This window comes from Homo sapiens, chromosome 9, assembly GCF_000001405.40.
Source record: "Homo sapiens chromosome 9, GRCh38.p14 Primary Assembly".
Taxonomy (NCBI): Eukaryota; Metazoa; Chordata; class Mammalia; order Primates; family Hominidae; genus Homo; species Homo sapiens.
The window spans coordinates 107,620,114-107,646,470 of NC_000009.12; the positions used below are offsets into that span (position 1 = coordinate 107,620,114).

Genomic DNA, 26,357 nt, shown 5'->3' on the forward strand with positions numbered 1-26,357 from the left:
CTCAGGGTCTGACTTTCCCCCTTGATCTTCTCTTAACAAGTGGGTGGTTGTGACTCTCCTAGGGTTCCGGGATGGCCAAGGAGGCCCATCTCACCAGACCTGGCCCTGAGAAACTTCACCAGCAAGGCTTTCAAATCGGGTGCGTGATTGCTACGACGTGAGTTCCCTTCCAGTAGGGCCTGCAGCTGCTCTGTCCTCCTGGATGGAGAATCTGACTCCAACTCAGCTTCCCAAACCACACACAATTCCAAGATGAGACTGGTCTTCCTCTGGGGGACCAAGGAGAAATGTGGTAATTTAGACTCTCAAAGACTCTTCCTAAAAAGCTGGGCTGTTAAGGAATCCACTCCAAGCGATCACCATCTGTGGCAGGCAGCTGGTGGAATAGACAGAACTGTTTTGACATCAGATGAACTAGAATTTGAATACTGGTTTAGTCCTGTCTAGCTGTAGGGATTTGAAGGGAAATACAGTTTTTCTTTCGGAAAACCAGGACAATAATATTGTACTAGATTTGTGAGGTTAAAGATATAGAAGGTATAGACAGCTAGGAGGTGTTGGGAGATTGGGGCTTCTATTCTTTGTTTTGCATTATTATTCTTAGCAAAGCCACTTACAGGGTGTCTGAAGAAGCATCCCTTTCTTTGGCTCCAGAGTGTGAGTAGAGTTTATTAGGGTCCCCCTGGCTTTTGGGTCCACCCAGTTTCTTCTGCAGACAATGTTTGGACTGAACTTCACTCTCTGTACAATGAGGAAACCTGTTTTAAAGGCCTCACTTGTCAAAAAAACAGCCATAAAACAGACTTAATGAGACTTCTGGATACAGCCAGGCCCATGTGATTGGCTGCTCCAGGGCAGGCAAGGCTGGAATTCAGGGCTCTGAACGTGCTGGCCGGCTGCGCTCCAGCCCCGGTCTGTGCTGGTGGTGTTCCGTGTGCTCTGTCCGCCTCTCCTTTAACTTCCCTGATAAAATGCTTACTTGGATATTGTTCTGAGATGATTGATTGTTAAATGCCCTGCAAATACAAAACTAGGCTGCTAAGTCACACTCGAGAGAAGTCCAGGAAATCCTCTAGTTGAATGTTACAGCCGGCTTCTCCTGAATAGAGGCACAGCAGCAGATTTCACCTAGCCAACCCGTTTGCTTTTTAAATGGGGAGACCGAGGCCCTGAAAGGGGAAAGCACTTACATAATATGTATGTTTTATTACAACTAAAAAAAAAAAAGACAGAGAGAAAGACGAATAGACAAGGCCCTCGTAGACCAGGAGGATGGCAGACTCACTGGATTCATGCTGGGTGGGGGGCCTCTCTAAGCTCTTTCCCCCACTCTACCTTTCTGCTCCTTCTCCTTTATTCCCCATAGATAGAGAGCAGTTTTTCCTCCTAGTACCAAATGTGGATGGTGGCATATTCTTTCCCTTTTACAGAAATATTAAATCCCCCCAGGTCACACAGCTGTGTTGTCTGGGTGGTGGCTGAACCAGGATTCCATCTCAGGTGTGTCTGATGGCCATCACGATACCACTGTAAAGCTGAGCTCATTGACTAACGCTTAGGAAGTGGAGGGCCTTACATTCTAGATTCCAACCTTCGCCTACAACAAAGGAAACTGCCGGTATTTTCCCATTGCTAGTGACCTCTGCTTTCTTGTGACCAACAAGTAAGCAAGTCAAGTCCATTTGTTAAGCTCTGTGACTCTTTTCATTGTTAGGAAAATTTGGACTTCAAAGTGAGGGAGTTTTGGGGGATGCTTGGCCTCTTTGGGACCGAGAGGGTGAGGACAGCTGTTTTCTTGTTCAATTGGCAGCCCTGGATTAAATTTCTAATTTTCTTCCTCACCTATTTCCTCCCTGTTTCCTATAAGCTTAGCCCTTTTCCTGGCACATAGTAGGTGTTCAATAAATATTTGCTGAATGAATGAATAAAGTGCATTGTGTGAACTGCTTTGTGTGAACACGTTAATTCCTCATTCAGATGTTGGCCCCTGCTTCTCAGGGACCGGGCCTTCTCTGTCCTTCCAGCCTGTGGGGCTTAGCACAGTGCCCTGGCTGGAGAAGGCATTCTGTGTGTACATACTGGACGAGTACATACATGGATAGCTTTTTAGGCTGCTGGTGCTGAATCACACAGCTGAACTTGAACCATATACAAATTTGGGACCTGCTTTTGGAAACGTTCTCATCTTTGTACATTTATAAAGGTGTTCCTGTATTTCTGACCTTGCAGCCACCGGACTTCAGCAGCAGTCATTGTTAGCTGTAATGAACTCAGCTCTCTGAGAGCATCCCACAGGGCTCATGATCTCACTGGAGGAGCACTGGAAACCAGGAGAGAGTGTGGGAGGTCTGGGAGGCAATGCATTGTCGGGCAGATGGTCCCTCAGGAGGAAATGCAGGCAGTGCCTATAGGGTAGTGCCCACCACACAGTGCTCGCCCCCTGAATGTGTTGTGCTAATATTAATGAAAATTAGTTAGAAAGAATTGAATTCAGTTGTGAGGATGGGCGATAATCACCCCTCCTCTAAACCCTCAGCAAGCGTAACATCAGCAATTTTTTTTTCCATGTAATAAGTCAGAGGTATTCTAGTCCAGGGCTGGCATGTGACATAGTGTTGGAGCCCCAGGTTCCTCCTGTGTTATTCTCAAGGTCACCTCTTTGTCCAAGGTGTCTGTTGCAGCTCCAGCCATTAAATCTGTATTCCAGAAAGCAAGAAGAATGAAAGGCAGAGATAAGTGAGAGCATATTTTAGGCACACTCTCTGGAAATTGTATACAACTTTTCCAAGTCTATCCCATTGGTCAGAACTTAATTGACTGGCCAAACACAGCAGCAAGGGAAGCTGTGATTTATTCAGGGTGGCCATGTACTCAGCAAATATCATGGGGTTCTTCTGAGAGAGAAGGGGAGAACCAATATTGGAGGGCAATTAGAGTCAGTAGCACAAACCGGAGCTTCTCTCTCCTCTGTTCCACCGTGTCAAACCTCTGGGCCCGAGAAGGTAGGTATTATCCTCAGTTTAGGTTTAAGCCACCTGAGACTCAGAGGAGTGAATGGCTTGCCCCAGGTCACATAGTTGGGTATTAAAGGAGCTGAGAACGGAATCCACATTTGCCTGGAATATGAAACCTGAGTTATTTGTGTGATTGCTTTTTGATAGAGGTGATGTTTTCCTATGAGCAGGGAGGGCAGCTATATCTGTTTGTGAGCTATGTTAGTGTCCAAATAACTTAAGAAAATGGTCATGCAGTTGTGTGCTCATGCCACCAATGTTTCTTTATGTGCCCACAATGTTTCATTTATCCTTCTCCCACTTGGCAATCTGGTAGCATCCCAACACCACTTTTCTTCTTCATCTCTGTATTTCCTGCATTCCTGCAGGGTCCAGCACAGAGCAGATGCCCCATGTATTGTTGTTGAGTGAATTCACTAATTAATAAAGCTCAGTCACAGCACCATTTGATACCCTGGGTGTTCTCAGGACTCAGGACTATGTGTCCTGAAGAACTAGACCATTCTACATGCATCAGACACACAGAGACCTCAGAAACCCAGTCCCTCCTGTGCTGTCTAGGTTCTTATCCAGTCTCACTGTGCCAGGTACCCAGCTGGATCCAGGGAATCCAGGAAGGGAAAGAGGTGCCACCTGCACTTTGCTAAGGGTGTCATAATTCCAGTTAACCCGCAAAATAGCCTTTTATAGGAGGTGGTAGTCCCACTTTCCTGGTGAGGAGACCGAGACTCAGAGTTGAAATGATTTTTCAAAGGTCATCCAGCTAATAAGGGGTGGAGCCAGGAAGCCTGTTGGACCCCGAATCTTTCATCCATGCATCATTCACTTATCCCCTTTTCAAATCCTTACAGATTTGACAAGCCAGTCATGCAAACAGTTGCTTAGCGTCACCCACACAGCAAAGACCCGGGATCTGGATAAATGAGTTAGAAAACCTGGTTTGCCCTGGTCACATATTACCCAGGCACTCCTTTTTGGCTCCTGCCTCCCAATGTCAACACACACACACACACACACACACACACACACACACACACACACACGTGCACATACTTTTTCTTCAGCTTCCAGGCTTTCTGCTTTTATGTTCCCAGCAAACTCAATTATTCCTTGCAGTGAAGTTGATGGGACTTTTACCCTATCCCTTCAGTGCCTCCTTCCCCTGGCCACCTTTCCTTTTGGCAAACCTTCCCCAGTAGCCAAGGGCTGTGTGAAGGGAAGGCAGCCCCAGGCTAAAGTGCACATGGGAGGCTGTGCCGTGAGTCAGCCTGGCTGGGAAGGGAGCCTCAAGCTTCCCGGGTTACAGGGGCCTCCAGCTCTTGGGGGTGATGAATCTTCTGGCTCACTTCAGCACACACATCAGGGGCAGCCTTCAAGTCTCGGGGCTGCCCTGCATCGTTCCAGGGGGCTTTTCCATCAGTCTTTTATTGCCTCAGTCCCAGAAGCGTGGCACATAGTGGAACTCCTTTCATAGCCAGGGAGAGGAGGGCCTGCCAGTTTAAAGGAAGGATCTGGATTCAGAAAGCCAGCGAATGCCAGAGGAGGCTTTGGTCTCCTCCAGGCCTGCACAGTTCATCCGTTTACGTTTTCAGAAAGCCCTTCATGGCCAAATCCTTTCCTACCCGCACCGCGCCCTCCTGCTCTCCTGCTGAGTTAGGAGCATGCTGGCTTTCTTTTTGTTCTTGGAACCCCCATGCTTGCTCAAGTCCTAGGGCCTGTGCTCCAGGCGGTCCGTGCCTGGAAATCTCTTCTCCTATCTCCATGTGACTGGCTCCTTGTCACCCAGATCTCGGCTTAATGACGTTTTATCAAAGGTCTTTCCAGGACCCTCAGTAGAGTAGCTACCAGGGTCCTCTCCATTGTAATGTGTATCTTTTTTTTTTTTTTTTTTTGAGACGGAGTCTCTCTCTGTCACCCAGGCTGGAGTGCAATGGCATGATCTCGGCTCACTACAACCTCCGCCTCCTGGGTTCAAGTGATTTTCCTGCCTCAGCCTCCTGAGTAGCTGGGACTACCGGTGTGCACCACCATGCCTGGCTAATTTTTGTATTTTTAGTAGAGACAGGGTTTCACCATGTTGATCAGGGTGGTCTCGAACTCCCGACCTCATGATCCGCCCACCTTGGCCTCCCAAAGTGCTGGGATTACAGGCGTGAACCACCACGCCTGGCCACATGTATCTCTTTTATGTATTTTAAAAAGCGCCCCCTCCCCTCAGTAGAAATCTTATGAGCGCAAAGACCCCTCATGAAGATAGGATGCTTAGAATCGTGGTTCAGAGGAGAAGTCAGCTGACTTTTCCTGCAAAGGGCTAGAGAGTATCTATTTGAGGCCTTGAGAGCCTAAAGGATCTCTGTTGCAACCACTCAATTCTGCCATTGTTGTGTGAAAGCAGCCTCAAAGTAAACAAATGGTTGTGGTCATGCACCAATAAAACTTTATTTAGGCCAGGCCCAGTGGCTCACACCTGTAATGCCAGCACTTTGGGAGGCCAAGGTGGGTGGATCACCACAGGTCAGGAGTTCAAGACCAGCCTGGCAAACATGGTAAAACCCCGTCTCTACTAAAAATACAAACGTAGCAGGGTGTGGTGGTGGGCGCCTGTAATCCCAGGTTCTCGGGAGGCTGAGGCAGGAGAATCACTTGAATCCGGGAGATGAAAGTTGCAGTGAGCTGACGTCACACCACTGCACTCCAGCCTGGGGGACAAGAGTGAAACTCCATCTCAAAATAAATAAACAAAAATAAGAAAATAAAACTTTATTTATAAAAACAGATGGCCTATAGGCTGTAGTTTGCAGATCCCTAGTTCAGAGCATTGATTGGTTCTAGAGAAGAAAAACTGAATTCTACCTCTGCTCCTCTTTATCTTGGAGTCTTGAGCAAGTTTCTTACCTTCTCTGTGGCTCAGTTTCCCCAGCTCACCTAAATATTGGAGATAATAACACAACTTGTCTCATGGATTGTATTGTGAGCATCATTTACATATCTGGCTTATTAGTTGCTCACATCTTCAGCATATTACGTGGTTCCTGCACAGAGTAGGGACTCGACATATATATTTGTTAACAAATGAATGGCTGAGCACCTACTAGGACCCACGCCTTGTGCTGGGCTCTGGGGAGATATTGGTGAACCAGAACTTGTTGGGGTCACTGCACTCAAGGTGGTCAGAGTTTCAGGGTTAAGGTCAAAATGGTTTTTACACCAGAGGCAGCAAAAGCCACATCCCGTGGGCAGGTGATATTGATGAGGCCGGGAGGGAGTAACGGGGCAGTGGAAAAATGAAGTGTGTATATCCCCTCTAAATTGTAGCTATGAGTCAATGCAGAACCAACTTGCAGGCACTCTGATTATCCAAAGAAGCTGGAAATCTGGATTTTTAAGTGCAGTGTCTCATTTTTTGCAAGTAGCTGACTTGATAAAGCAAAAAGAAACCAAACCAAAACAGCACCGGATGGGCTCAATAGACACAATTGCAGCAATAGCGTGTTGAATTCAGCCATCTCTTTTTTTTTTTTTTTTTTTTTTGGAGAAGGAGTCTCACTCTTGTTGCCCACGCTGGAGTGCAGTGGTGCGATCTCGGCTCACTGCAGCCTTGCAACCTCCACCTCCCAGGTTTAAGCGATTCTCCTGCCTCAGCCTCCTGAGTAGCTGGGATTACAGGTGCCCACCACCATGCCCAGCAAATTTTTGTATGTTTTGTAGAGACAGGGTTTTACTGTGTTGCCCAGGCTGGTGTTATATTCCTGATCTCAGATGATCTGCCTCCCTCGGCCTCCTGAAGTGCTGGGATTACAGGTGTAAGCCACCACATCCGGCCCAGTCATCTCCTTTTCACAACCTTATTTTATGGATAAAGAGACTGAGGCTCAGGAGGGCCACATGACTTCCCCACAGGCACACAGCTAGCATGCAGAGGAGCTACAGGTTTGAATCCAGGTTCATGTGATTCCCTAAACATGGATTCTATGCCAGTTGCCTCAATTGCCGTTAAAGGAAGAGGGAAGAGGTGGCCAAGAAGGGAAGGTATGTTTTGGTGTCTCAGAGCTCAGCATTTCTCAGAATATCATTCTTAGCCTATTTTCCAGCTTTGAGGATTGGCTGCAGGACAGTCACCTTCGGAGGGTTCACCTCCAAGGCAGTGCCTGCCCTGACAGGACCTGGCCCCTGGCCCTTTCCACACTCATCTTTGTGTTTCTCTCCAGCTTTGCCTTCTCCAGCTCATCTGTATGTGTTTTCTACAGTCTTGGCATTAGTGTCCAGCTTCCTTCAGCAGAAGAATGTGAACCTTGAGGGTCCTTTTGCCTGTCATGGCCCTAGATGACCCATGAGAGGGAGGGTGCAGGGAGGCTTGAAGATGTGACTTTCTCCCACAGTGGGGTCTAGTGGGGAGGACACTGTTTTTGGAACCAGGGAGACCTGGATTAGAACCCTGACACTGCAGCCACTCACCAGCTGGGTGACCTTGGAGCAGTTCCTTCACCTCTCTGAGTTTCAAGTAGGTGCAAGAGCCTGCTCCTTGCAGAAATGTGCTGAGATAATGTATGCACCCACCTGGCACAATGCTGGAATGCCATGGACACTCCCACATGGCAGTTCTGTTCTTTTTATCCCCCTCCTCCCCTCTGCCTGTCCTCTCCTGCTCCTGGCCCAGCTAGCCCCTGCTGTGGCTCTCTTGCCTCAGTACTGAGAGAAGTTTGTGGAACCTGGGTGGGTCTCTGCCCCTGCGTCCCCTCTCCCCAGTGCCAAGGCTGCAAGAGGAGGGTGTGGGCATAAATTACACCCATCTGTTCCCTCCCTGCTGAGGGAGGGCAGGAGGGAAACACATGGGCCTTAGTGGGTGTTGTACTTTCCATGTGCAGCCGCCAGGAACAATGGAAGGGAAGAATGTGAGCTCGGTGAGGAGTCCACCACACCCTGCCTTCCAGTCCCCTTCCCCCTTTCAGGGATCGTAGGAACCAGCTTCTTTGAGGGCCCTGCTTCTGGGGAACAGAACTCACCCTTCTTGCCAACCCAGAAGTCCTCAATGTTGGTCATGTGCATCTTCTAGTTTATTGTTGATTACTAACATTGTTCATTCATTTATTCATTCTACAAGTGTTTACTGAGCATGTACTCTGGGCCAGCCAATGCGTGGGCTAAGATTTGGAGTGAGTTTTGTGCCTTTGAAGAGCTCACCATTTAGCAGGAGAGACCACATGGAAAGCAGCCAAATTTGGGTGCTGTGGCAGAGGTGCATGTGCTGGGCTGTACAAATACAGATGAGGGACGGCTTCCCGGGGTGGTCCTTTGATTCCAGTAAGAGTTATCACGGATAAAGGGAGGGTGCGTATCAGGCAAAGAATGCATGGAGTGTTTGGAGGCGCGGTGTGCAGAGCTTGCAGGAGGCAGTGTGCGGTGAGTTGTGGGGACTCCTACGTTGTCTGATCCCTCCTTTTCTGCTGGATCCTCCCCATCAACGTTTACCCGCACTCAGGTCTCTCATCTTACAGCAAACCCTCACTCCACCTCACATCTTACTCCAGCTCCTGACTCATCAATTTCCCTCCCAGCCAAATTTTTCAAATAAATGTTCTGTGCTATGCGCATCGTCTCCATTTCCCTCCCCCTCCAATCACGCCCCAATCCACCTCTACCTTTGCTGCTTCACAAGGTCATCATGACCTCCACATTCCATTGTCCGTTGGTATTTCCCAGTTGTTTGGTTAGATTTTCTAGTGGCATTGATGACGGTGGAACATTCTGTCCTGCTGACCCTCCCTCTTCTCATGCATAGAGACCCCACAGACTCATGGTTTTCCTGCTGGAGAGCCTTGGCTGCTCCTTCTCAGCCTCCTTTACTTGTTTTCACCTTTAGCTACCAGATCTTTATACACTGGGGTTCATGAAGGCTGGAGTTTATTTTATCTGCCAGCTTTCTTTTTACTTTATCTCTTGGTTGACTATTCAACTCCCATACTTCAATTACCTTCTCTGAGCTGATAGCTCCCACACCTATTTCTTTCTGCAAAGATCTCTAGTTTCAGACCGGTAGAAATAGGAGCTTAGCTAACATTTCCACTTGAATACTGCACTAACTTCCCAAACTCAGCCACTGAGTTCGTTACCCTCCCGCAGTCCTGGTACTCTCCACCCTCCCCACCATCCCTCCATATCTTGGCACTATAAGTTCTACACCCTGGGAAACACCTCAGCCCAGGCACACTGGTATGGTTAGTCACTCTACTAAAATCCAAAGGCTAAACCCCAAATCTCTTCCATGACTTAAAAGGCTCTGTGTGATCTGACCCCTGACCTGCCTCATTGTGCACCCCTCTCTCCTTGCTCTTGGGTCCTAGACTGTGCTCCTGTACCACCCAGAGCATCTGTGCATATCATTGTTCCCTTTGTTGAGACCATTCTTCCTCCCCTTTTTCTTAACTCCCTCACCCTTCAGATATCAGATTAAACATCCCATCCTTTGCTCAGAAAAATCCATTTTTTTTTTTTTTTTTTTTTTTTGGTATGGAGTCTGGCCTGTCACCCAGGCTGGAGTGCAGTGGTGCAATCTCGGATCACTGGAACCTCCGCCTGCTGGGTTCAAGCGATTCTCCTACCTCAGCCTCCTGAGTAGCTGGGATTACAGGTGTGTGCTACCATGCTCGGCTAATTTTTGTACTGTTAGTAGAGATGGGGTTTCTCCATGTTGGCCAGGCTGGTCTCAAACTCCTTACCTCAAGTGATCCACCTGCCTCGGCCTCCCAAAGTGCTGGGATTACAGCTGTGAGCCACTGCACCTGGCCAGAACAATCCATTCTTGACGTGGCCAGAGAGGGCAATGTGACCCCCATTACACACTCTCTCAGTATTACCCCTCTTTCAGCTCTGTAGCTGTTGCAGTCGCATGATTAGTCAGTGTTGGTCTCCTCATGGAGAATATAACTTGAACACTAGCTGGGACCATGTTTATCTTATTTCCCACTGGAGTCCCTGGCCTTCACCTAGAGGGTGGGATGTGGTCAGTGTGCAATGAGCAAGCTGCTTGGGTGCACCTAAAAACAGAGGCTTTGGCCATGGGGCAGCATAGCCAGATGTGTGTTCTAGAGAGAATGTTTTGGCGGCTCTGTGGAGGATGGATGACAGAACCTCTGCCTGTGGAGGGAGGCTGGTTAGGCATTTTGGGTGAGAGAGGATGGTGGTATGGATTGGGAAATCAACCAATGCTTCTGAGGATGTCGCCATATCCCTATGAGGTAGACTCTTCACAGCGCGGAGACCGACTTCACAGGGGCACTAATGACACTGGAGGAAGTGAAGATATTTCCCAGGCTTGGGGCTTGGGGGCCTGGGTATCTGGTTGGAGAGTCCCATGTTTAGCCATGATAAATTCTGTCTTAACTATGGCAAATGTAAACCAGTCAGTGTGACTGTCGTGATGTCTTGAATATCTGGTCCTTTATATTTTTGTTAAAACTACATTTTCTGGGCTGGGTGTAGTAGCTCACACCTATAAATCCCAGCACTTTGGGAGGCTGGAGGGAGGAGGATCACTTGAGGCCAAGAGTTTGAGACCAGCCTGGCCAACATAGTGAAACCCTGTCTCTACTAAAAATACAAAAAATTAGCTGGGCCTGGTAGCAGCTACTTGGGAGGCTGAGGCACAAGAATCCCTTGAACCTGGGAGGCGGAGGTTGCAGTGAGCCAAGACTGCGCCACTGCACTCCAGCCTGCACAACAGAGCAAAAACAAAAACAAAACAAAACCCAGCACAAAAACACATTTTCTGGCATCCTCCTTGGATTCATTTTATCACCTTCCCCTGCAACCACCTCCTCGACCCCCAAGTCCTGGCAGAAAAGAGCAGGACCCATAGTGAGTTAAAGAGAGGGATACTTTTTTTTTTGAGACAGAGTCTGGCTCTGTCACCAGGCTGGAGTGCAGTGGCGTGATCTCAGCTCACTGCAACCTCCAACTTCCTGGTTCAACTGATTCTCCTGCCTCAGCCTCCCGAGAAGCTGGGATTACAGGCAGGCGCCACCAAGCCCAGCTGATTTTTATGTTTTTAGTAGAGAAGGGGTTTCACCATGTTAGCCAGGATGGTCTTGATCTCCTGACCTCAGGTGATCCAGCTGCCTCGTCCTCCCAAAGTGTTGGGATTACAGGTGTGAGCCACCACGCCTGGCTGGAGAGGGATACATTTTTAAGACTCACATAGAGTGCTGTTGCCCAGGAAAATGAACACGACTTGTCTAGGGTTAGGATGTCTGGGTTCTCCCTCAGCATGGTGTCTCACCAGCTCTGTGACCTTGGGCAAGTCCCTGTCCCTCTTTGGGCTTCCCCACCCCCACTTCTACAAGGAGCTGAAATTATGCGGTGGTTCTCAATACTGGCTGCATATTAGAATTGACTGAGGAAATTTAAAAAATACAAATGATCAGACCCTGTTCCCTAGAGACTCAGATTACATTGACTTTTTTTTTTTTTTTTTTTTTAAAGCTTACCAGCTAATTCTTAAAAGCAGTGAGGTTAAGAAGTATCCAATCACATGATCTTGGACACTATTCAGCTCGGTGAGTCTAACCGAAGAATGGCCCCATTTAGACCCCAAGGGCCCCCTGGTGAGACCTGCCTTCCATCTCTGCACTCTAAGTCACCTGCACATGCCTCGTGGTCCTGGACTTGAACTTAGGCTCTAGGGTAGCAGCAGAGGCGGTCTTCTGCTGAGGCTAAGAAGCAGAAATGCAAAGTCTGTTGAGAGAGGGGGATGGGTAGGAGCTGTGTGAGGAGGAACAGATTGAAGCTATTAACATTTGATCAGTTTGGTATTGTTCTTCTGGAGACCACAGCTTATGCGGCTGCTTAATAAATGTCTGGTCAGGGTCCAATCCAGAGCTGCCAAATGGGTGTTGCTATGGTTTCCGAGGAGTTTGTTTCCCACACAAGTTACTGCTTCCCACCCCAAACTGTGAAACACCAGAGTCTTCCCTCTGCTCCTTAACTCTGTCCCTTCCTAGAGGAGCCTGTGGTGAGAGAGAACATCTGCCTGGGCCTGGGGGACACACACGGGTCTCGTGTGACTGGCCGTCAGTGGCACCTGCCTGTGCCAGCTCCCTGAAGCAGGCCTTGTGCCTTCCCACTCTGTGCAATTTCAGGTGGGCCCATCGCTCAGCTGGTGTCATCTCAGCCTCCCAGATTTTAGGGTCTCTGCATCTGACCCTGTTGTCCTTGACTGGAGAAGAGGGGTGGTCAGAGGCTACGTTAGCAGGCAGTGTGTTTGTGTGTGTGTGAGTGTGTGCTTGTCAACACGAGCCAGTGTGGGGGTTCTCGTGACTCAACACGTGAAGATAAATGTGTGAATGTGTATGGATGAGTGTGTGTCGGTGCTTGTGTGTACTTGTCGGTGTGCGGAGTATGGCTCTGTGTTTGTCAGTGTGTATGTCTGGTGATGTATGTGTGGATGGCAAGAACTGGGAGTGAGCACGGGCAATGCTGCTAAATCTGAAAATGTATTATGACAGATTTACAATAAATGAACACTTACAAAGTCCAACATACAAACACTCGTGTAAATGCCATCCAGCCTAACAGATAAAATGTTACCAAATACAGCTTAAACTTTCCCTGCGTTCTTTCCTGATTGTATCTCCCTTTTCCTCCCTTTTCCTCCTGTTGTGAATTTGTGAATTGATCTTTCCCAGAATGATACACTCTGTTTCAATAAGTAAGCTTCTTCCAGTGTTGAATCTTTCTCTAAAACATAGTCAATGAAGTGTGAGTATGGTGTGTATGTGCGCAAGCCCATATGTTGGGTGGCTGTGAGTTGTTGGGGAAGACTGGAGAAAAAGAATTTGAAAGTGCTCTCAGCATGCAGTGGCATCTTCTAGATGTGTGACGGAAGGGAAACTTCCTAACCTCTCTGAGACTGTTTTTCATCTATAAAATGAATGAGATGAGAATGAAATTATATAAGATGTGTGAAAAGAAATGGCACATAGTTGGAACTCAACCAGTTCTGATTTTTTTAAAAAAATGTATCTATTAAAGAGGAGGCAAGGCCAGCCAACCTTGCAGAAGGAAAACAAACAAATCAGACATACATTATTCAGGGGAGGTGGAGGTGTGCTGGCTTGAGCTGGATCCTTCCCTCCCTCTCTTTTTCTTTTTGATTCCTTAGGACTTTCCTCTTTTGGAGCGGTGGTATGTCAGCACAGTGGAAATTCGAATAGGGGCAGTTTTTGTCCCAACAAAGGACTGGACTGTGATGGAAGGTCCCCTGCCTGTTCACTGCTAAATAGAACTGCATGTAAATAAGATCATTTGAGCTGTGGTGGGTTTTGAATACACAACCATCAAGGTAAATGAGCATTCCAAAGAAATCCTGGCTCTCAGACAATGCCTGAGTTAAAATGAAACTTGCTTGAAAATTAAAGCCAATGTTCAGGCTTCAGGTCATGTGAGGAAATGGGAGGCATTTGCCGGTTCATTCACCCATGCGCTCATTCACCTAGCTGCATCCTGGATTTACAAAGGTGGAAAGGATCATTCTAGCAGGAGAGAGAGAGACAGTGAGGAGTTAAAGATAAGACATTTGCTGCTATCTCGGAAAATATACAGCCTAAGTGGAAACGCACAGCAACCCTCCCTTGCTTCTGTTCTGACTGTGTCTACTATGTGCCTCAGACCGGCTAGACACCAGGAGGAACAGAGAAGCTGAAGACATGACGTGCCAACCAGCTAATGTAAAGATAGGATAAGTGTGAATAAAGAGTTGACAGAGGAGGGTTAGAAGGACACTGCCATTTATTGAGCACTCACTTTGTACCAGGCACTATGTGGGGGTCTGGTGGGTTGTGGGGGTAGCATTTAGCCTAAATTAACCATTGCAACAATTGTTGAGTCAGTATTATTATCCCTGTTTTACAGGTGAACAAACTGAGTCTTAGAGGGGTTAAGGTCTTTGCCTGGTAAACATCAGCACAGGGAATCAAATCCAAGTGTTTCTGACTTTCCAGCCTAGCACTGGTTTTTGCAAATAATTCTGTGGCAAGAACTATATGACTAGCGTGAGGTAGTTTCCAGTGAATAAGAAAGCAAGAATCTGGCCGGGCGCAGTGGCTCACGCCTGTAATCCCAGCACTTTGGGAGGCCGAGGTGGGCGGATCACAAGGTCAGGAGTTCGAGGCCAGCCTGGCCAATATGATGAAACCCCGTCTCTACTAAAAATACAAAAATCAGCTGGGCATGGTGGCGCATGCCTGTAGTCCCAGCTACTCGGGAGGCTGAGGCAGAAGAATTGCTGGAACCCGGGAGGCAGAGGTTGCAGTGAGCCGAGATCGCACCACTGCACTCCAGCCCGGGGCGACAGAGTGGGACCCCATCCCCCCGCACCCCCCCCCAAAAAAAAAGGGAGCAAGAATGTGGTACTGACATGAGTACTGAGAAAATCCAAATCCAATGCAAGATAAAATGTTTTGGTTAGCATTTATCTAAGAAAGTTTTGGAAAGCAAGTTGTATATTTGGCTTTGAAGAAGTAGTCCTTTCATTCCAGGAACCTCAGCTTTGTTATTTTCTGAGGCTATGGTTTAAATCACATATTCCTGGTACATTGTGAAGAAGTTTCTTGAGACAAAGGCAAGAGGGAAAAAATATGATCTGTCATGGCATGGGAGCTGAAATTCAAGTTTTAAAATCACTTCTAAACAGCTCTGAGCTTCTATGATTTGCTAGAATCACAGAAAGACTTATGTAGCTCAAGTTGGAGAAAGCATGTCAAGATTGCTAAGGCTGCAAAGAGATTTTTCAATTCCTTTTTAGTTTTTAAAATTATTATTAAATTAAAAAAAAATGAGCCCAAGATGAGCTCCACAGTTTCCTCAGACGGGATTAGATATGACTTTCAGGTTTTCAAAGTTCAATTCAATTTGAGTTTCCTGTGTCCTAAAAATGTCTTCAATTAAAAGCCAGAAAAAAATGTATTTTTTTCATCTTCATCAAACTGAAGAAAAAAAATGGCTGAAGGGATTTTATTCAAACTTTTCCCCAAAATTCACCTTTTGCCAAGACCCAGCATGGAAAATTTCAGCGCAAAAGGATCACTCTTTGGCAAGTTCCCTGAGCTAATGAAAACAGAGGGGCATAAAGGGAGTCTGTGTGCAGCTCTAACTATAGTGGTCACTGCAGCCCACATTGTGTGAGAAGAAGGGCCTCATTCAATAACCCCCCTTTTAAGTCTTTTTTATCATCAATATGGATGAGACTTAGATTTGACGTGGTCACCAAACAAAAGGCCCTCACTTTATGAATACAATCTGGGTAATGGCATTATTTCAAGTGGCTTCGCTCAGTTATGACTGGCTTTGGAATAGTTATTGTTGATTCATTCATTCATTCATTCACTCACTCATTCATTGTACAAGTATTTACTGAGTGCCAGCAATGTGTGAGGCACTTTAATACATGTTGGGAATGCTATGGTGGCAGGCATAAGCGAGGCAGTTCCTGCATTCGTGGGTTCGTGGGAGGAAAAGAAAAACAGATTAAATTACAAACTGTGACAAATTCTGTGAGGCAACAGAAGAGGGTGCTGAGATAGAGAAAACCGGGTTTTGTGGTGATAGGAGGCCTACATTGTACTGGAGGCTAGTGAAGGTCTCATATGCATTCATTCATAATTTAGCAAACATTTAGTGAGTGGCCGCCATGCTCTGGAGTCTATACTGATCTAGACACCATTTTTGCCTTCAAGGTGCTCCTAGACCAGTGGGAGAGCAGGCAGGTAAGTAAAAAGCTCAGATGCTGGGTGACAAGCGCTTTAAGGCAGGCATGTGCCATATCTAATGTGGAAACAGGAAGGAGATCTAAAATGCTGCGGTTGGTGGTGGTCAAAGAAGGTTTCTCTCAGGGGGAACGATTCAACAGACATTTGTGATAGTTGATGTTTGGCAAGATAGAGGTGAATGAGAACTAGGGCTGCTTTCAAGGAGTCTGAAGTCCAGTCTTGCTTCCGGAGTCACCTCTTTGAGAGCCTGGATCCTGTGGTGTCTGACCCGCCTCTCCAGTAGTAAGCATGGAGCTTGAGTCAAAAGAGGTGCTTAGTAAATAACAGGTCCCTTTCTCTGACATCTCATGGCACAACTCTTTGGATTTAGTCTAGTGGTGAAGAACTTGGCTACTGCAGTCAGATTGCATGCGTTCAAATTCCAGCACCCAGCTGTGTTACCTTGGGCAGTTTTTCTCTGCACTACAGTTTCCCTACATACAAGGCAGGGATGATAATGATACCTGCAGACTAGGGTAGTTATAAGGACTAAATGAGATCATGCTTATATGATCACTAAAGATATGACCAGCATACCTCATCCCAATGTGTTTTTAAGTGCTGCTTATCACCTTCCACAACCCACCCCCACCCCCCATTCACTCAATCCAACAATTATGGATTGAGTATTTTCAGTCTTAGGCATTGTGCTGGGTGCTTAGATTCAGAAAAATCTTGCCAGACTCCGGGGTCTCCATCCCCATAGATGGTTAAATTCCCAAATCTCCCAAAATGGAAGTTCTTTGCCTCTTCTACCCAGATAAATAGGTATTTGCTATCTCTGGATTAGCGGTGAATGTCTGTTCATTTTTCATCAGCACATCTGGTTTTTAGGTGAAAAGCTGCCAGGAATTTTGAAACATCTTGTTACTTTAGACATCAGAAGGCAGGGAGATTTCCCATTATTAAATGGATGTGAAAACTTCTTTGTGCCCCAGGGCTAGGGCAAACCTGAGATTTCATAGGTCAGTGAAAGCTCACCATCATTGTTTTTGCTTGGTAATAATTTTATTTAGGGAGGAGGAAGAAGAGAGGGTAGGGGGTTTCCAGAATGATAAAGCAATGTGCCAATGTCATGCAGTTTCGAGAGGCCACTGAGGTGGTAGGGAAAGCATTGCCCATGTGTGGCTCCATCTCCCCGAGCCTCAGTTTCCCATTGTGTAAGATAAGGATAACAGAACTTCCTGTGTAGTGTGGGTTGAGGTTTCAAGGAGAGCATGAATGTGGAAACACATCAGTGCCTTTTGCCTGCTAAATGCTTCTTGTTTATTTCCAGCCCTGCCACATGTTTGCAAATCTTTGCAATGTGCAGTTGGAAGGCAAAGTGGGGATAGAGAAGGCAGATTTGATTTGAGAGTTTGTGCACACAGTGGTGGGTCTGAGTTGGGGGCCTGGCTAGAAACAAGTGGCTTTTTTGGTGGCACCTTGTGCGCCTTCTCTTGAGACAGAGGCTCTGTAACCCCCCTCGGCATCAAACTTCGCACTACCCTCCCTTTGCCACGGCATCCTTCCTTCTCGTCTCCCGGGAGGCCGGACAGAGAACCCAGGCCCAGCCCCAGCCCAGCGAGCCTGAGCCAGACTGCCTCGGGCCGGTCTTGCTCGGCCTCCCTGGGGAATCTGGGAGGCTCAGCCAGGCCTGAGTCGGCCTGGGTCCCGAGGTCAAGGTCGGGGTCAGGGTCGGGGTCCGGTCGTACGCCCTAGCACTGCCTGCGGTGGGGCGCGCACAGTCGAGCGCGGGGCCTCCCCGCAGGCTGCGCTGCCTGCCGGGCGGCCTCGGGAACTGACCAGGCCGCGTGTGAGCGCCGGGATTCCTGATCCTGCCTTAAATATGCCGGTTATTTTTATCTCCCTACGTCAGGCAGCGAAGGCCATCCCACCGGTGGCCCAGGCGGCTGCTACACAATGTTTCCCTTTAGTCGGGAGGGGAAATGGAGGGAGGCCAGACTTCCTGATCACATGGTGCTGAAGTCAATGAAAAAAAATTAAGGGGGACCCCTCCCTTTTTCTTCAATGCCTGATCCAGATTCCCCCCTCCCCGCTCCCCCGACCCACCCCCTCTGGGCTCCGCGCGTCGGAGGGAAGCGCAGCCTCCCAGGCGGAGGGCCAGCGAGGCAGGAGAGCGCGCGCAAACATAAACACGAGACTGTTGCAGTAATTGGTGGCTCTGAAAACACTGAGGAAATGAGAGGCTTGTACGAAACATCAGCCGACAAGAAACGGGGTGATGTCAGACAGCCTTCCAGGATTAGAAACCCTTAAAAGCTCCGAGCCCGCGGCCGCTGCGGAAAACTCGGCTCTCCCGCTGTCCCGGGTAGGAAGCCGGGATTTCGCTTTTGCCCGACTCCCTCGGGGCACTCGCCCTCTCCTCTCTTCCTCGCTTTCTCGCTTTCTCTCTTTCTCTCTTTCTCTTTCTTTCCTTTCTCTCTCTTCTTTTTGTTTCTTTTCTTCTTTCTTTCCTCTTTTTCTTTTCCTTTTCTTTTCCTGTCTTTCCTCTTCTCCCTCTTGCGCCCCCCCCCCCACCCCCAACTTTTTCTCTTTCTGTTTCTCTGGCTGTCACTGTCTCTCTGTCTTCTCCCTGTCTTCTCTCTCTTCGTTTTTTTCTTTAACCTTCTTTATTAAAAAGAAAAGAAGAGGCCACATCAGAAGATTTCCATTTCTAAGGCACCTTGTACTTTTATATCTTTTCCCTCCTTTGAAACACCAAACAGGACCCAACTCCTAAACAAGTCCAAAGGGACAAGTAAAACTGGGGTGTCAGTCGCTTGAGTTTGTTATAACTTTCTCTTCTTCTCAGTGCCCTTCCTCACCCCCCTTTTCGGATTAGAAGTTCATATTGCAATAATTCGCCAACATGTTGGAAGGGCTGGAAATAAACAAAAAGCATTTACCAAGGACAACAGCCCACCCACCCTGAGATGGGGAAAATGCTTGCAAAAATCTGGCCGTTTCAGAAGAGAATATAGATTTCCTGGTAAAATATATCCCAGCCACCCAGCTAGTAACACTAGTGGCTGTTGCCCCATTTTCTGTTCATAGTATAATTAAGACTAAAAGTACTTACACGTATGTGTATACACACACACACACACACACACACACACCCTCCCTCCTCCAGGCCACAGGGCAGGGTAGCTAACAGCCAGTGAGCAGGGAGGATCTTGTACCACATCCAGCAGGAACTTGCGTGTGTCTTAAAGTTGGAGGCCAGTTACTCAGTGACATCTGTTCAGTGACATCAAAAGTGATGTCTGTCAAGCCTTTTTCTCTTCGTGTCTGCCAGGATTAATGAGGCAATGTTTGGAAAGGGCTTAAGCCCCCACCAAGAAAGGCACCCAAGACAGCTTTTCAAAGAATGATTTATGTCCAGCTTTATCTAAATAGGAACCGAAAAAGCATTTTTCTTGTCTGTAGAGCAGGTGAACTCAACACCTGACTTCTTGCTCAGGTGCATTTCAGAAGCTTTCAAATCTGCCTTATTAATTGGTCTGATACCTCTTTACCATGAAGGCACTTTTTTTTTTTTTCTTTCTTCCTGAGACCCCAGAAAAGGTCATATCAAGGCTGAGTTTGTACAACCTTGGAGGAATATGACTGGTTCCAAAGACTTGGTTTCCTTCACTGCTGCTTATGGTGAGAACAATGTCCCCCAACCTGAACCCTCCTCCCTCCCCTGCACACTCATAAATCTTGTGGTGATTTAGTTCCCCTCAATGCTTGACACTCCTAAGCTGTAGTAATTTGAGCCAAGCATACTTTCTGGTTTTATCCAGTATACCTGCGGTTATACCACTCACCGAGAAGTGGATCACAGCTCTGTTTTCAACTTCTTTTTTTTTGAGACACATTTTCACTCTTGTTGCCCAGGCTGGAGTGCAATGACATGATCTCGGCTTACCGCATCCTCCGCCTCCCGGGTTCAAGCCATTCTCCTGCCTCAGCCTCCCGAGTAGCTGGGATTACAGACATGCGTCACTGCACCTGGCCAATTTTGTATTTTTAGTAGAGACGGGATTTCTCCATGTTGGCCAGGCTAGTCTTGAACTCCCGACCTCAGGTGATCCACCCACTTCAGCCTCCCAAAGTGCTTGGATTACAGGCGTGATGGACTGTGCCCGGCCTGTTTTCCACTTCTTATGGGGACATTTTCCATCTCTGATATTTGTCTTGTGCTTTGCAATCCCAGGGGGCAGCCTCATCTCTTCCTAGTCCTTATGTTGGGTAAAAGTGTCTCTACTCCTGCCACTGCTCCACCTAGCCACTTTGGCGTCTCCCTTGCTGTTTTGTTTTGTTTTGTTTTGTTTTTTTCCTTTTGAGACAGAGTCTTGCTCTATCACCCAGGCTGGAATGCAATGGCGCGATCTCCGCTCACTGCAGCCTCCACCTTCCAGGTTCAAGTGATTCTCCTGCCTCAGCCTCCTGAGTAGCTGGGATTACAGGTGCCTGCCACCACGCCTGGCTAATTTTTGTATTTTTAGTAGAGATGGGATTTCACCATGTTGGCCAGGCTGGTCTTGAACTGCTGACCTCACTCGATCCACCAACCCGCCTCAGCCTCCCAAAGTGCTGGGATTACAGGTATGAGCCACTGTGCCTGGCCATCATCATGTGTTTATACCAAACTTCTCCCCGTCCCCTCAGTGAACTCCCCACAGCCCTCTGGGCCCCCCATGCTCTTAGATCTGCCCTCCTCTCTGCCGGGAATGTTCTTTTCCTCTCTTCACTGCCTAGTGAACTTCTTCCCACTCAAAGCCCAGATACAGTGCTGCTGCTTCTCCAAAGCGTTCCCAAGTTTTTCACCCAGAGCCAGCCTCCTCTGTCTTCCATGCCTTGCTGTCCGCTCACACTCCCATAGTGGTGTATGTTGGACTCCAGCGATCTTTTGACCTGCCTGTCTCCTTCACTGGAAGGGCTCCTTCCAGTGTGGGCTTCTCCACACAGGGATTGGGTCTTGTTTGACTTTGTGTCCTAAGAGTACATAGAGCCCTAATGCATGGAAAGGCTCAGTGAATGTTTGTTGAATGAATAAAAGAATGAATGAAGCCAGGCTTGGTGGCTTACATCTGTAATCCCAGCACTTTGGGAAGCTGAGACAGGCAGATCACCTGAGGTCAGGAGTTCGAGACCAGCCTAGCCAACATAGTGAAACCCCGTCTCTACTAAAAGTACAAAAATTAGCCGGGCATGGTGGCAGGCACCTGTAATCCCAGCTACTCAGGAGGCTGAGGCAGGAGAATCACTTGAACCCGGGAGGCGGAGGTGGCAGTGAGTTGAGATCGTGCCACCGCACTCCAGCCTGGGTGACACAGCTAGACTCCATCTCAAAAGAGAAAAAAAAGAATGAATGGACCGAGAACCCATTCTCTAGGGAAATCACAGCCTATCTGACAGGATTATGGAGTGCTCTAGGGCCTTGCACATGTCCCCCAACCCCCAGCCTCCAGAGCTCACTTCTGACTTGATTTAATGAGATGATGCAGTGATTTGTATAACTCTAAGCTCCTTCTCCCTTTGTGTCACTGAATCAGCCTAACATTATTATCCCAACCCACAAGAGGGTGAGGGAGAGGGAGACAGGCTGAAGGAGAGGAGGTGACTAGCAAAGGTTTTGTATCCTTTGCTAAGGATACAAGAAGTGGGAGAGCCAGGCTCAGGTCAACTTGAATACAAAGATCCCACCCCATCCCCACCCCACCAAACGTATATTCATGAACACACACACACATACAGACACACATACACACACAGATCTAGCCATTTGGCAGCCCAGTAATATACGTATTGTTACTATTTCCATTGTATAGATGAGAAAACTGAGACTCAAAGAGGTTAGATACTTGCTCAGAGTAACACAGCTATGTAGGAAAAACCAAGTAGGAAAAATACATTCTTATTGCCATAACAAGCAACTAGACCAAGGATTTGGAAGCAGAAGAGATAAAAAGACATGAATCCCAATGATTTGGCTTTATGCCATCTCTATCATTTTAGACAATCTTGATGGTACGAAGATGCTGGAGTCTGGGATTCTTTTTTTTTTTTTTGAGACAGTCTTGCTCTGTCGCCCAGGCTGGAGTGCAGTGGCACGATCTCGGCTCACTGCAAGCTCTGCCTCCCGGGCTCATGCCATTCTCCTGCCTCAGCCTCCCGAGTAGCTGGGACTACAGGCACCCGCCACCACGCCTGGCTAATTTTTTTGTATTTTTAGCGGAGACAGGGTTTCATCGCGTTAGCCAGGATGGTCTCGATCTCCTGACCTCGTGATCCACCCGCCTCGGCCTCCCAAGTGCTGGGATTACAGGCATGAGCCAGCACGCCTGGCGAGTCTGGGATTCTTAGGATGGGTGTGGTGGAAACACTGAGCCATCACTTTATCCAACCTATTTTATCCCCAAGTGGCCAAGTTGGGGCACAGAGTGGGCTAAGTATGAGCCTAGTGTCGCACAGTCTGTGAGTGAGGGTCCAACCTACAACCCAGGCAGATCTCACTCCCTCCTAATGTTCCTTCCTCCTAAAGAAATGTCTTGGAGCCAGGCAATTATGATTTTGAGATTATTTCCCACTTTCACGTTTGACCCTGAAGAGAATCAGAAACAAGAACTTTATGACATTGTTTCAGACATCAATGGAAAGGTGAGGTGGGCAGGAACCCTGAGACAAGCCCTGGGGAATGGCAGACATATTGCCTGCACTTAATTCTGTTTGGCAGCAAAGGCAGAGCTAGGTTTGATCTTTGGCAGAAATGACATTTCTTGGACAGTTATCTCCCTTGCATTCTTGTTACCCCTAGATGACCCATAGCCGGACATCCTCATCAGGGTCATCTTCTGCCTACATGTTGGAACTTAGGGAAATTTCATAGCTTCATTTGATAGCCAGTTACTAGCTGAGTGGGTCTAGCAAGTGATGTAACCTCTCTGAGCCTCCATGTACTCATTTGTAAAATGGGGATGAATGAAGTACTTGCCATGCCTACTTCACAAGATGTTGATATATGTCAGATGGGTCTACTTATGTTAGGAGGGCTTTGTGATGTCATGGCCAAATATAAGTTGTTAATGTGACCATTAGTGGCCATGGGCCAGCTATAAGCAGCCAGGTCAAGAGGCCAGCTTCCACAGACGGGGTGGGACAGGGTAAGGGCATAGAGGCAGAGGAGAAGGGAAAAAAAGCTATCAGGCTGGTACAAAAGCAATTGCAGTTTTTGCCATTAAAAGTAAAAAAATTGCAATTACTTTTGCATCAATTTAATGTATCTACACACTTGTTGAGCACAGTCTACCAGGCATCTTCTATTCATGATCTCATTTCAACCACACCATCAAGCTATGAAGGAGATATTTGTAGTGTGTTGAATGATGACCTCTGAAAAGTTATATCCATGTTCTAACTCCTGGAACTTATGAATGTGACCTTCTTTGGAAAAAGGGTCTTTGCAGATGTAATTAAGTTAAGGATCTTGGGATGAGATTATCATAGATTATCTGGTGGGCTCTAAATCCAATTATAGATTTTTTTTTTTTTTTGAGAAGGAGTCTCGCTCTGTCACCCAGGCTGGAGTACAGTGGCGCGATCTCAGCTCACTGCAAGCTCTGCCTCTCGGGTTCACGCCATTCTCCTGCCTCAGCCTCCTGAGTAGCTGGGACTACAGGCGCCCGCCACCACACCCGGCTAATTTTTTGTATTTTTAGTAGAGACGGCGATTCACCGTGTTAGCCAGGATGGTCTCGATCTCCTGACCTCGTGATCCACCCACCTCGGCCTCCCAAAGTGCTGGGATTACAGGCATGAGCCACCTTGCCCGGCCCCAGTGATAGATGTTTTTATAAGAGACACACAGAGGAGAGATACACAGGGGAAAGAGATGGCCATGTGAAGATGGTGTTGGAAATTGGAGTTATGCAACTCCAAGTCAAGGAACACCCAGAGCCACTAGAAGAGACGAAGAAGGGTTCTTCCTTATGTATACACTTCAGAGGGAGTGTAGCCTTACTGATATATATATACATATATATTGAGACAGAACCTTTCTCTGTCACCCAGGCTAGAGTGCTGTGGTGCAATCTTGGCTCACTGCAACTTCTGCCTCCCAGGTTTAAGTGATTCTCACACCTCAGCCTCCCAAGTAGCTGGGATTACAGGTGTGTGCCACCACACCAGCTAATTTTTTTGTATTTCTAGTAGAGACAGAGTTTCACCATGTTGCTCAGGCTGGTCTTGAACTTCTGAGGTAGGGTGATCCTCCTGCCTCAGCCTCCCAAATTTCTGGGATTACAGGCATGAGCTTCCGCTCCCAGCCCCAACTGATACTTTGATTTACAGAACTGTGAGAGAATACGTTTCTGTTTTAAGCCATGAAGTTTGGGATCATCTGTTATGGCAATCCTAGGAAACTCATGCAGATTATCTTTATCTCCATTTTCCAAATGAGAAAACTGTATCAGAGAGGGTAAGTGTTTTTTGCAAAGCCACCTAGCTCATGAGGAACTGTAACTCAGGCTCAGGTTTATCTGATTCCAAAGCCGGTACTCAGATTCTTCAAGTGGACAATGGGAGATTTCAAGGGATGCAGTGGCAGAACGCCTAGGATGAGAAAAGTCAGACTGGATAAACGGAAGAAAGCTGGGATTAGCCAGGCATGGGGGCACGTGCCTATGGTCCCAGCTACTCGGGAGGTTGAGTAGGGAGGATTTCTTGAGCCCAGGAGGCGAAGGCTGCAGTGAGCTGAGATGGCACCACTGCACTCTAGCCTGGGTGACCGAGTGAGACCCTGTCTCAAAATAAACAAATAAAATAAAATAAAAAAAGAAAGATGGAAAATGAACCTTTCAGTTCTGAAGCAGAGCTTTTAAGGCAGAGGATTTCCTGAGGAGAAATGCCCCTTCCAGTAATCCCACAAAAGGTGGTGAAGAGGGGATTTTGAGGGGAATTTTGGTGGTTGTATTTCAGAGATGGTCCCAAGGCCAGTGGTTTTGGGGAACACTGGTTGGGCAGCTCATCCATGGGGCACCCAGGCGGCAACTTTTCAGCTAAGTCAGCAAGAAGGCTCACACCAGTCTGAGCTTGGAGAAACACAGATTTCTTTCTTCCTTTTTTAAAAAAATTCATCCTTCTCTCTCTCTTTTTTTAAACATAAGCCAGGCTGGGAGGAGCCTCAACAAGGAAGGAAATCAATAGGAAATGCCTTTAGAAAATGAGATTTTTTTGAAAGCATGTCATGTCTTCATTTTTGATGCAAAGTATTGGGCCCTGCAATTTGAAACAGGAAACAGCAGAAAGCAAAGGCAGCCAATGTGAGGACATGCTGAGGTCCCTCCTTTCAGAAGCCAGCTGTAACGACAGGGCTGGCAGCAGTGGATACGGGGCCAAGTCACATGGAGGCCAGTTGAGGAAACAGTGGGTGTTGGCCTGGAGAAGAGCAGTCTTGGGCAGGACATAAGAGTTTTATTTGCACAACTAAAGGGCTGTCATAGGGCAGTGGGAGCAGGTATGTTCTGACGGGGTCCAAGGTGAGGAACTAAAACCATTGGTCTGGCTATATCACAGGGAAGCAATAGAAGAAAATAGTTAAAGGCTGTAGAGCCAGGGGCTCAAATCTCAACTTCACCACTGGTTAGTATTATTAAATTTTTAGAGACAGGGTCTTGCTGTGTTATCAGGCTAATCTCAAACTCCTGACCTCAAACAATCATCTGACCTTTGCCCCAGGGATTACAGGCAATGCCAGTGCTGTATTACGGGCATGAGCCACCTCACCTAGCCAATTTCACCACTTATTCACTTGGACAGATTATTTAAGCTCTCTGGGCTTCTGCTTCTTCATCTGTAAAATGGAGCTAACAGTAATACATTTCTCATGGAGTTATTGAGAGGATTAGATGTATGTATAGATATAAAATTAAATTTGCCCAATTCTCTCTATTATAGTCATATATAACTATCTGATACTTTTTTTTTTTTTTTGAGACGGAGTCTGGCTCAGTTGCCCAGGCTGGAGTGCAGTGGTGCGATCTCGGCTTACTGCAAGCTCCGCCTCCCGGGTTCGCACCATTCTCCTGCCTCAGCCTCCCGAGAAGCTGGGACTACAGGCGCCCGCCACTACCCCCGGCTAATTTCTTGTATTTTTTAGTAGAGACCGGGTTCCACCATGTTAGCCAGGATGGTCTTGATCTCCTGACCTCATGATCCATCTGCCTCGGCCTCCCAAAATGCTGGGATTACAGGCGTGAGCCACCGCGCCTGGCCAATGCTTTTTTTTTGATAGAGTCTTGCTTTGTCGCCTAGGCTGGAGTGCAGTGGTGCAATCTCAGCTCACTGCAACCTCCGCCTCCCAGGTTCAAGTGAGTCTCCTGCCTCAGCCTCCCAAGTAGCTGGAATTACAGGCATGTGCTATCATGCCTGCTAATTTTTGTATTTTTTAGTAAAGACAGGGTTTTGCCATGTTGGGCTGGCTGGTCTTGAACTCCTGACCTCAAGTGATCTGCCTGCCTCGGCCTCCCAAAGTGCTGGGATTACAGCTATAGATATATGTCTCAACAACTGTCTT

The 26,357-nt window shown here is 47.5% G+C and overlaps 1 long non-coding RNA gene across 7 annotated transcripts in view, besides 3 other annotated features; it reads left to right on the top strand.

The window, feature by feature from the left end:
• The window catches only part of LOC105376205 (uncharacterized), a 98,539-nt gene that overhangs the window by 53,325 nt on the left and 18,857 nt on the right, over positions 1-26,357 (top strand). For 5 of the 7 annotated variants that reach the window (XR_930216.2, XR_930220.2, XR_930219.2 and 2 more), the window contains one exon: positions 63-1,909. This is a non-coding gene — a long non-coding RNA (uncharacterized LOC105376205). Of the gene's footprint in view, positions 1-62; positions 1,910-11,492; positions 11,567-13,170; positions 13,380-26,357 lie in introns of those variants that run through there. The other 2 variants (XR_930218.2, XR_930217.2) reach the window with 2 other exon arrangements.
• Positions 12,187-12,824: an enhancer, noted in NCBI's record as "H3K27ac-H3K4me1 hESC enhancer chr9:110394581-110395218 (GRCh37/hg19 assembly coordinates)". NCBI's record gives its function as "activates a minimal SCP1, AML or CMV promoter by ChIP-STARR-seq in primed H9 embryonic stem cells {active_cell/tissue: H9 hESC(primed)}" and the evidence as "EXISTENCE:reporter gene assay evidence [ECO:0000049][PMID:30033119]".
• Positions 16,900-17,448: an enhancer, noted in NCBI's record as "H3K27ac-H3K4me1 hESC enhancer chr9:110399294-110399842 (GRCh37/hg19 assembly coordinates)". NCBI's record gives its function as "activates a minimal SCP1, AML or CMV promoter by ChIP-STARR-seq in naive H9 embryonic stem cells {active_cell/tissue: H9 hESC(naive)}" and the evidence as "EXISTENCE:reporter gene assay evidence [ECO:0000049][PMID:30033119]".
• Positions 17,449-17,997: an enhancer, noted in NCBI's record as "H3K27ac-H3K4me1 hESC enhancer chr9:110399843-110400391 (GRCh37/hg19 assembly coordinates)". NCBI's record gives its function as "activates a minimal SCP1, AML or CMV promoter by ChIP-STARR-seq in naive H9 embryonic stem cells {active_cell/tissue: H9 hESC(naive)}" and the evidence as "EXISTENCE:reporter gene assay evidence [ECO:0000049][PMID:30033119]".